The sequence below is a fragment of the Homo sapiens genome, chromosome 16 (assembly GCF_000001405.40).
Source record: "Homo sapiens chromosome 16, GRCh38.p14 Primary Assembly".
Taxonomy (NCBI): Eukaryota; Metazoa; Chordata; class Mammalia; order Primates; family Hominidae; genus Homo; species Homo sapiens.
Genome location: NC_000016.10, coordinates 89,147,040 through 89,157,910, shown reverse-complemented (window position 1 = coordinate 89,157,910; position 10,871 = coordinate 89,147,040). Strand labels below are relative to the sequence as shown.

The following is a 10,871-nucleotide window of genomic DNA, read 5'->3' as shown; positions in this document are numbered from 1 at the left end:
TGAGATACACATACATGTGACACATGTAGGCGTGTGAGACACATGTGACATGCAGGCGTGTGACTTACATACCTGTGGTGTATGCAGGCGTGTGAGACACACATGCATGTGACTTATGCAGGCGTGTGAGACACACATACATGTGACATATGCAGGCGTGAGACATACATACCTGTGGTGTATGCAGGCGTGTGAGATACACATACATGTGACATATGCAGGCATGTGAGATACACATACATGTGACATGCAGGCGTGTGAGATACATACATGTGACATGCAGGCGTGAGACATACATACCTGTGGTGTATGCAGGCGTGAGACACACATGCATGTGACTTATGCAGGCGTGAGACACATACATGTGACATATGCAGGCGTGTGACATACATACCTGTGGTGTATGCAGGCGTGTGAGATACACATACATGTGACGTATGCAGGCATGTGACATACATACCTGTGGTCCACACCTGTCTGCACACGCCTCCTGTTACTGATGGTTAACTCAGTGGCTGGCACACTCACCACCTTCTCACTGTGGCTGGCAACAAGCTGCTGTTCTGCACCAGGACCTCCTCTCAGGCTCCCAGCAAAGGAGGCCGGCAGCTTTGACACGAGGGTCCGGGAGCCGTGGCTCCTCCAGGTTAGTGGTGCACACAGCGCTTGCCACACCGCCCACTGCCTCACTCCGTGCTGTGCCTGGTGCTGCGTGGGTCCTGAGGCTCCTGCTCCTGACCCTGGTGCCGCTGGGACAGAGTCCAGGTGGGAGGGCAGTGTGTGGTGTGTGTGTGGCCAGTCCCCAGGGACAGGACGCCCGAGGGAACAAAGCCCCCACCCCTTGGCCAGGGCTAGAAGGGCCCCGAGAGAGCAGCAGCCGCAGTTCACAGAGTAGGGAAACTGAGGCAGAGCAGGCTCAGGTCTTGTGTGTTGGGCCTGGACACCTGGCAGGAAGGCAGCCCCAAGGGCCGCTGTTGGGTGGGAACGTGGGGCCAGCTTGGCACTCCTGAGCTGCCTCAGGCCTGGCCTGTCTAGGCCTCAGTGGACCGGCCAGCCTAATGCCTGGGCTGCTGGCCTGGGCCCTATCTGTTAAACGAATGGAGGAGGCAGGAGCTGGGTCCATGGTCTCCCTGCCAGGGAAGCCGCAGGTGGAGGGAAGGCAGAGGGCGGCAGGGGCTTCACCCTGGCCCCTGATGAGGGAGGGGCAGAAAGAATGGGGCGGCACCTGCCACAGGCTGTGTGTGGGACTTTGCTGGCAGCAGCAGGCGCGGTGCCACGGCTTTGGGGACCAGCTGGTCACCAGGAGTCCTGCCATCCCCTGGTGCCTGAGAGAAGCTGGGCCACCCGCCTGGGAGCAGCTCCTGGCAGCACCCCTGTGTCTGGCTGGGGTCAGAACTGGTGACTTTCCAGATTCAAGCCAGCCTCCCTAGGAGGTCAAAAGCACCAGGCATGTAGAGGGGCTTCTGACCCAGCTGGTGGCAGCCTGCTCCCAGGGCACCTGCTCCTGGGTCTAACTTTTGTGGCATGGGGCCGCCCAGCAAGGGGCAGGGTGTGTGGGGTGGGCGCTGCCAGCCACGTGGGACTGTGGTATCCTCATGGAGCTCAGTCACGGTGAGTTCGCAAACAGCACCCCCCGGCCTGTGTCTCCAGAGGCCAGGTCAGCACCAGAGGCCAAGATGGGGAATAAACTGGGCTTTAATGGGGAGGGAGGAGAGGATGAGTTCCCTCCAGGACGGGCTTGTTCTCGGCTGGTGGAGCAGAGGGGAACCAGGGGCCTGGCTGGGCACTGGCGGACTGTGTGCACGAAGGCCGACCAGCCTGGCACAGGGACCAGCTGGAGAGTCACTCGTGACTTTAGAACACGGCATTCAACCGCATGTCCTTGGAGCACCGTATTCTGGTCAACCGGCTGGTCAACGAGCTCCAGGCTTTCTGTAGTTTGTGGTCAACGAGCTCCAGGCTCTCTGCAGTTTCTGGTCAATGAGCTCCAGGCTTTCTGTAGTTTGTAGTATTGTCAGCAGAAAGTTACACTCATTATTTCGAAAGCATGATATACTGATGTATACTATCGGATAAAGCAAATGATTATGTAAGCTTTTTAGGAATCAAAAGTTTCAGGATTAAAGGAGAGAGATGCAAATGTAAAATTAGTGGAATTAAGTAAAAATTTTGCTATGTTAAATTTGACCTTTTCCCAACAGAAGGCATTTCCTTAGCTACCAGCAAGGCCTAGACACAAACGTCTGGACTGTAGTCTCTGACTGCCGTTCCCTTGGGTCCAGGCCTCTGGCGGGAGGGCGGGACCCCTTCCTCTGACTGTTCCCGGGGTCAGGCCATGGGGATGCACAAGGCCACACCGTGAGGCAGGAGTTCGGGTGGGGCAGGGCCGTGGACTGGGGCACCCACCAGTCCTGGAAAACAGGGCTGGGACGCTGCTCTGTGGCCTCAGACAAGCTTGGTGGGCGACATGCTCAAGTGAGCAGGGGCCCCAGGCCACGTCCAACTGTCCGCGAGGCATGTGAGCCTGAGATGGGGCTGGTCTCCTGTCAGAGGCACGTGAGCCTGAGATGGGGCTGGCCTCCTGCCCGGCACACTCGTTTCTGGCCACTCTTTCAGACGTGCATTCCGGGGGCAGAATGTTCTGGGTAAGTTCAGGCCAGACACTGCTGGGCGATGACTGTTACTTCCCCCAGGCTGTGGGGAGGAGGCAGCCTATTCTTCTGAAAATTGTCCAGAAACTTCTGGATTCTGCATGTGGCCCCTGTGCATCTGAATTGGCCCCGCTAAGTAAATGCAACGTGGGTGCACCCAACATTCACAACACACCTTCCTGAGGTTTCTGCATCGGCCACGCCTGTGGGCTCCGGAGCTGGGTCTGGGGAAAAGCTGGTGAGCCACAGACATGAAATGGGGGCCATGGGGCAGGTGGGGGTCTGGGTGGAGACGGTGATGGGAGAGAGGGTTCACCGGCTGAGGGGCTGGTGTGGAGATGACCTGGAAAGTCCCTGCGCTGGGGGGTGAGGCAGGGTCACGGCAGAGCAGCTCCGGGGCCATCCGTCCACGCACTTTCTGTGACACATGCTGATGGACACACAGTAGTGTGCAGGGTGGCAGGTGTCCCCACAGTGGGAGCTGCTCTCCTCCAAGAGCAGCACCAGGAAATGCACGGAACCCATGGGACAGGGCTGGTTCTGGGAGGCTTGTGAACCCTCAGCTCCTCCCAGGAGGGCCCCCTGGGTGGCTGCCCAGACCTCCTATGTGGGCCGGGAGACACTGGCTCTGGGTGAGGCACAGGCACGTGCAGACGGCGTGGGACAGGGGCTTGTTTCCTCCAGTGGAGTCTTTGTTTTTTGTGGGAAACCTCTGGGACCTGCCCTGGAGAGCCTGGCAACTGCAGGGCACTGTGGGGCGGGAGGTGCCTCAGCACGTGGGGCCAGGGGCTGGCTGCACCGCGCTGCACAGATGAGGTCGGCGGTGACCAGGCAGAGGTGACACCAGGGACGGTCTCCTTGAGCTGCAACAACTGGCCCGAGGCTGGGGACCCCACATGGTGATTTCATCCCAAACAGTTCTTGATTCTACGTGACCTGATTTGGGGGGTTCAGGTTTAAGGGAGGCCAGGTCTTGGACGGGCCCCCGTGGTTCTCGGTGTGAAGGGGACGTCTGCTGCTCCCCACCAGACCCGCAGTCCCAGTCTGCCGGGTCATGAGGGGTGGAAGTGCCTGATGAGCGCCTTCTTGTCAATCTTGCCCATCTGGTTCCGCGGGATCTCCTCCACCAGCACCAGCTCCGAGGGCACCGCGTACGGGGCCAGGACATTTCTGCAGAGACAAGCACAGCCTGAGGCGCACTGCCCTGACAGTGCCCAGCAGGAGGAACTCAGGCGCCCAGCAGTACGGACAGGTGCCCCTGGGACCCTGCAGCCTTGCCAGGCGCCTCGGCCATCCTGAGGCCAGGCAGGTGCACCGGGCCACCGCAGCTGTCTCTGCCCTAGCAGCCCAGGGGTGGTGACTGCAGGAGGTGCCCGGCATGGTGTTATCACTGGTACCACAGAAGCCATGGTGCGTGCAGGCCTTGGGCGAGGGCACACCTGAGGATAGGCCTGCACAGAGTGGCCTGCAGGGCAGAGGGGCCCCCACACCGGGCCAGGCCTTCCAAGTCCCCGCACTGGAGCTGGAAGGCCCCATTTCACTCTGTGGCCCGTTCCCCTTCCAGAGGAGGCGTGCGGAAGAGGCTGGGGAGTGGGTGGGCAGGTGGGGCAGGGGCAGTCTGCCCTGTATGGGGTATTTGAGATGGGAGTAAATGCCGCACAGTCCTGCAGACACAAGCCTATGTGGCAAGAGGCCTCACAGAGCCCTGCACGGCAGGGACGGCCCCTAAGGTTTGAAACCTCCACTCAGGGTCCCCCTTCCTCATGGGCGAGAACTCGGTGGGTGGTGCCAGGGCGGTGGGCGGTGCTGACACGGGTGGGTGGGGCCAGGGCACTGCCAATGCAGGCGGGCGGGGCCGAGGGCAGTGGGCAGGGACGAGGCGCTGGGATCTGAAACTGAGACTGCAGTGGTGCTCGGTGCTCCTCCATTCACCATTAAAGAAGGGAGGAAAGAAATGAAATTAACCCCCCAAAGGGAGGATGGTTGTGCCGCCCACCAGTGATGCCCTGAAGGCAGCGGCCGTGGCCCAGGCGCAGGAGGGGCTGGTCCAGGGCGTCCAGGCTGCACTGAGCCATGACAGAAACGAACCTTCATGGCGATTGTTCTGGTTACTGTTCCGCGGAAAAGTCCAGAAACCAAGTGTCGTGGTTTCTTGACGCTTTTTGTGGAGAAAGTGTCGCCTGCCGTCCAGACGCGGCCAGAGACCCAGCACAGTCCCCCTGCCCACCTGCCCCTGCCCGTAGGCCTCTCGCGACAGAGGTGGGAGTCGGCCCAGCCCAGTCTCTCGCTCTCCAGGGGCAACTGGCTTCGACCTCGGTGTCGCTGTCAACCTCGACCTCCACATTTCCAAATCGCATTTTTCTTTTTTTCTCTTTTCTTTCTAGGACAGGATCTCACTGTTGCCTGGGCCAGAGTGCAGTGGTGCAGTCATGGCTCACTGAAGCCTCGACTTCCTGGGCTCAAAGGATCCTCCCGAAGTGCTACAGGTATGCGTCACCTTACCTGGTTCCAATGTTCCTATCAAATTTATTTTGGCACGTATATATTTTATAGTTGTATAAAACTATGACAGGCATTTAAATGGAGATGTAATTTACACCCAGCTGTCCTATGTACAGTGTGGTGAGGGATGTGTAGATTTTTTTTTCTTTTGAGACAGAGGCTTGCCCTGTCGCCCAGGCTGGATTGCAGTGGTGCAGTCTCGGCTTGCCGCAACCTCCGCCTCCCGGGTTCAAGCGATTCTCCTGCCTCAGCCTCCTAACTAGCTGGGACTACAGGCGCATACCACCATGCCTGGCTAATTTTTGTATTTTTAATAGAGACGGGGTTTCACCATGTTGGCCAGGATGGTCTCCAACTCCTGACGTCAGGTGATCTGCCCACCTCGGCCTCCCAAAGTGCTGGGATTACAGGTGTGAGCACCACGCCTGGCCTGTGTGGGAATCTAAAGTTTTATTGAAGCAACTGCCCCCTGCTCTAAGTAGCGCCCAGACTGAAAGGGAACATGGCCAGGTTCCCAGAAGCCCCTCTGCCTGCCTGAGCCACTCCCAACCTCCACGTGTAACCAACGTCTCGGTTTCTAACAGGGGACAAACTCTGTGTTGAATGAGACTGGGTGGCAGTGGTGAGGGCAGGCGCCCCTTCCTGGTCACAGGAGGAAAACGCCCAGCAGCTCCCCATCGAGCAGGATGTCATCTGGTAGCTTTTGAGAGACTCCCTCATCAGGTTCAAGGATTTTCCTTCTTCTCCTAGTTTGCTAAGAGTGCTTGTTATAAAAGGGTTTTGACATTTGCAAATGCTTTTTCTGTATCTATTGAAATGATATGATCTTTCTTCTTCATTCTGTAAATATGGTGAATTACCAGTGGCTCACGCTTGTAATTCCAGGACTTCGGGAGGCCGAGGCGGGAGGATTACTTGAAGTCAGGAGTTCGAGACCAGCTTGGCCAACACGGTGAAACCCCGTCTCTAATAAAAATACAAAAATTAGCTGTGCATGGTGGTGCGCACCTGTAATCCCAGCTACTCAGGAGGCTGAGGCAGGAGAATCACTTGAACCTGGGAGCTGGAGGTTGCAGTGAGCGGAGATCGTGCCACTGCACTCCAGCCTGGGCGACAGAGCGAGACTCCATCCAAAAAAAAAAAAAATATATGGTGAATTACACAGACTGATTTTTGAATATGAAAGTAACCCTCTATTCCTGGCTTAAATGCTGCTTGATCATGACGTGTTGTCTTTTTGTGCATTAACTGGATTTAATTTGCTAACGTTTTGTTTAGGATTTTGTGTGTCTGCCCATTGGGAACACTGTCCTCTCGTTTTCTTGTCTGGTTTTGATTTCAGGGTAGTGCTGGTCCCATACGGGGAGTTAGGAAGTGTTCCTCCCCACTCTGTTTCATCAGAGACTTACTTTGCTGTGTCTGGTTTTATTTTTTGCCTTCAATGTTTGAGATAATTTATCAGTGAAGCCTTTTGGGCCTGCTATTTGCTTTGCAGTTTTAAATTGGTAACTCAGAACTGTTCAGTCTGTTTCAGTGTTTGCGTCAGTCTTGGCAATTTGTGTCTTTTAAGGGAGTTATCTGTTTCATCTGAACTGCTGACTTCACTGGATACAGCAGCCCTCCGTGCCGCCATCCTGCCCGTCAGAGCCCGCATGCCTGAGGCGAGGTTTCGTTTCCTTCCGATATTTAGAATGCTGTTTTCTCTCCTCTTGGTTGGGTGTTCTTTCAACCTGAAAACTCATGACCTTTGGTTTGGGGAAATTTGACTGTGAATTTCCTCCCTGGATATCTTCTTGTTGGAACTCCCATTAGACAGTTGGAACATTTGGATTAATCCTCTAACTTACTTCCTCCTGCCTCCCTTCCTGTTCTTCTTTCTTTCATGGTGAATGGACAAGCACTGCAGTCTCAGCCTGAGCCGGGCACAGCAAGCAGGACTCAGGGCTGCAGGGGAGGTAGCTGTGGGCCAGGTACAGCAAGTGGCCTGGACAGCAAGGGCCTGGCTCCAGGGCTCCTGCAGGACTGGCGGAGTCCTGGGCTGTGACCGCATGGCTGGTGGCCTTCCCTGCCCAGTCCTGTCCCTCACAGGCGGCTTCTCCTCAGCGGGCCCTCAAGTGCCCTGCACGCAGCTTCCCGTCTTAGGGTCTTGTCACAGCCACTGTCATAGCCCAAACAATGCTGGGTGAGGAGCCTGATGTGAGAGATGCACAGAGCAGGAGCAGGCGGCCTGGTGTCCCTGGGCAGGGGCGGCCTGGTGTCCCCACGCAGAGGGCAGCCCTGAGGACAGCCAAGGGCTGAGGAGCATCGGGACTTCAGTTCCTGCCAACTCGGACCCTGAAACTCTAGCACAGCTCTCAGCCCTCGACACCTATCTTTTCTTCTCAAGGTAACTGTTTAATGAAAGCAGCAGCTGCTGCTGAGTGGCAGTGCTCCCGCTGTGTTGTGCAAGCCCAGGCATGTGTGGTGCCCTGATGCTGCCCTGATCAAGCAAGCGTTTCTGCTGTCTGTGGAGTCACATCGGACAAGCCAAAAATATCTTCAGTGCTCAGGAGACGGCAAGTCAGGGTGGAGGCAGGAGGGTGCGTCCAGAGAGGGAACAGAACAGAGACAAATGCTCGGTCTTAAATAATTTGCTGTAGGTGAGCTCTTCCTCCTGCTCCACCATGTGGGACATGCCTGCCTCCCCTTCTGTCATGACTGTAAGTTTCCTGAGGCCTCCCCAGCCATGCTTCCTTATAGCCTGTGGAACTGTGAGCCACTTAAACCTCTTTTCTTTATAAATTACCATCTTGGGTAGTTCCTTATGAAAGCAACAGGAAGCAGTCAAATGCCCAGATAGACAGGGGTGGGTCCCTGGTGAAACCCCACCTTCAAGCCAAAAACAGCCTGAAACCTGCAGCCTGGAGTGAGAACTTCTATTCCTGTTTGCCCACTCTTTCCCACTGGTTCTTTCTGAATAATGCTTTTTAACCAACCAAAGGTTACCTTTTCCAGTGCTACCTACAGCCTGCCCCTCCCCATTCTGTGCCCAGAAAAGCCCTAGACCCAGCCACACCCAACTCTGGGCGGTTCAGCACCCTCGCATACCCTCTCCGCTGAGAGCTGTTTCATTGCTCAATAAAATTCTTCTCCACTCTCCTCACCCTTTGAATTGTCAGTGTAACCTCATTCTTCTTGGACGCGGGACAAGAACTTGGGAACCGATGAATGCAGGTATAAGCTATAACACAGGTGGGCTGAGCCAGTGCATAAGCCAAGCATGGCCCAGTGGGTCGAGTGTGTGGGTGCCTTCTGTGGCAGGCCTGGGTTGGGGGTGTCACCAGCCACGGAGGTCCCCGGTTGGCAAAGTGGCTGAGAAAAATCTGGCTTCATTTATAGCAATGCAAGACTGGACTAACACAGAAAACTGGTACAGGGAAGTGGGGCACTGCTGTTAAGACATCTGGAAATGTGGAAGCAGCTTTGGAACTGGGTAACAGGCAGAGGCTGGAACGATTTGGAGAGCTCGGAAGAAGACAGGAAGATGAGGGAAAGTTTGGAACTTCCTAAAGACTTGTTAAATTGTTGTGACTAAAATGCTAATAGCGATATGGACAATGAAGTCCAGGCTGAGGTAGACTCGGAGGGAGATGAGGAACTTATTGGGAACTGGAGCAAAGATTGCTTTTGTTAAGCATGAGCAAAGAGATGACCTGAAACCGGAACTTAGATTTAAAAGGTAAGCAGAGCATAAAATTTGGAAAATTTGCAGCCTGATCACATGGTAGAAAACAAACAAACAAACAATTTTCTGGGGAGGAATTCAAGCTGGCTGCAGAAATGTGCGTAAGTAAAGAGGAGCTGAATATTAATCGCCAAGACAATGAGGAAAATGTCTCTAGGCGTGTCAGAGACCTTCATGGAAGTGCCTCTCATCATAGGCCTGGAGGCCTCGGAGGGAAGAATGGTTTTGTGGGCCACTGCCCTGAGGGACACTGGCCCCTGCATCCCTGTTGCTCTGGGGCTAAAAGGGCTCCAGATAGAGCTCAGGCCACTGCTCCAGGGCAGTGAAGAGGAGAAAGATGGGGTTGGAGCCCCCACACAGAGTCCCCAGTGGGGCCCTGGCTACTGCAGCTGTGAGAAGAGGGCCACCGTTCTCCAGACCCCAGAATAACCCACCGACAGCTTGCACTGTGTGGTGCACCTAGAAAAGTTGCAGGCACACAACAGCAGCCTATGAAAGCAGCATGGGGGCTGTACCCTACAGAGCCACAGGAGCAGAGATACCCATGGCCTTGGGAGCCACCTCCATGCATCAGTGTAGCCTGGATGTGAGACATGGGTCTTAGGAGATTATTTTGGGGCTTTAAGATTTATTGGGCTGGGTGGGGTTGCTCACGCCTGTAATTCCAGCATTTTGGGAATCTGAGGCAGGTGGATCACTTGAGGTCAGGAGTTCGAGACCAGCCTGGACAACATGGCAAAACCCCATCTCTACTAAAAAATACAAAAATTAGCTGGGTGTGGTGGTGCATGCCTATAGTCCCAGCTACTTAGGGAGGCTGAGGTAGGAGAATTGCTTGCAGGCAGAGGCTATAGTAAGCTGAGATCATGCCACTGCACTCCAGCCTGGGCATCAGAGCAAGACCCCGTCTCAAAAAAAAAAAAAAAAAAAAACCAAAAAAGAAGAAACCAAAAAACAATTCAGTGACTGCCTTGCTAGGTTTTGGACCTGCCTGGGGCTCGCAGCCCCTTTGTTTTGGCTGGCGGCTCTCTTTTGGCACTGGTGTATTTACCCAATGCCTGCACCCCCACTGTATCTGGGAAGTAACTTGTCTTTGATTTTACAGGCTCATAGGTGAAAAGGACTTGCCTTGTCTCAGACGAGACTTTGGACTGTGGACTTCTGAATTAATGCTGAAATGAGTGAAGACTTGGGGGACTGTTGGGAAGTAGGATTGTATTTTGCAATGTAAAAAGGACGTAAGATTTGGGAGGGGCCAGGGAGGAACGATATGGTTTGGATCTGTGTCCCCACCCAAATCTCATGTTGAATTGTGATCCCCGCTGTTGGAGGAGCGACCTGGTGGGAGGTGACTGCATCACAGGGGTGGATTTTCCCCTTGCTGTTCTCGTGCTAGTGAGTGAGTTCTCACAAGACCTGCATGTTTGAGAGTGCGTGGCACCTCCCTCTCCCATCGCTCTGTGGCTCCTCCCACCCCCTCCTCGCTCTGTGGCCCCTCCCCCCCCCCCCGCTCACTCTGTGACCCCTCCCTCCTCCCTCACTCACTCTGTGGACCCTCCCTCCTCCCTCACTCACTCTGTGACCCCTCCCTCCTCCCTCACTCACTCTGTGACCCCTCCCTCCTCCCTCACTCACTCTGTGACCCCTCCCTCCTCCCTCACTCACTCTGTGGCCCCTCCCCCGCTCACTCTGTGGCCCCTCCCCCCCTTGCTCACTCTGTGACCCCTCCCTCCTCCCTCACTCACACTGTGGCCCCTCCCTCCTCCCTCACTCACTCTGTGACCCCTCCCTCCTCCCTCACTCACTCTGTGGACCCTCCCTCCTCTCTCACTCACTCTGTGGACCCTCCCTCCCTCTGTGGACCCTCCCTCCTCCCTCACTCACTCTGTGGCTCCTCCCTCCTCCCTCCTGCTCCGGCCATGTAGGATGTGCCTGTTTCCCCTTTGCCTTCTGCCATGACTGTAAGTTTCCTGAGGCCTCCCCAGCCACGCTTC

General features: G+C 55.5%; 1 protein-coding gene across 8 annotated transcripts in view; it reads right to left on the bottom strand.

Annotated features, from left to right (window-relative positions):
* Positions 1,678–10,871, bottom strand: part of ACSF3 (acyl-CoA synthetase family member 3) — a 62,382-nt gene continuing 53,188 nt past the window's right edge. For 6 of the 8 annotated variants that reach the window (NR_147928.2, NR_104293.2, NR_147929.2 and 3 more), the window contains one exon: positions 2,074–3,821. Coding sequence is in view for 4 of the 8 variants with exons in the window: in NM_001127214.4 (NP_001120686.1) it covers positions 3,704–3,821 (118 nt within the window). In the remaining 4 variants the exon portion in view is untranslated. Of the gene's footprint in view, positions 3,822–10,871 lie in introns of all 8 variants that reach the window. The other 2 variants (NM_001243279.3, NR_045667.2) reach the window with 2 other exon arrangements.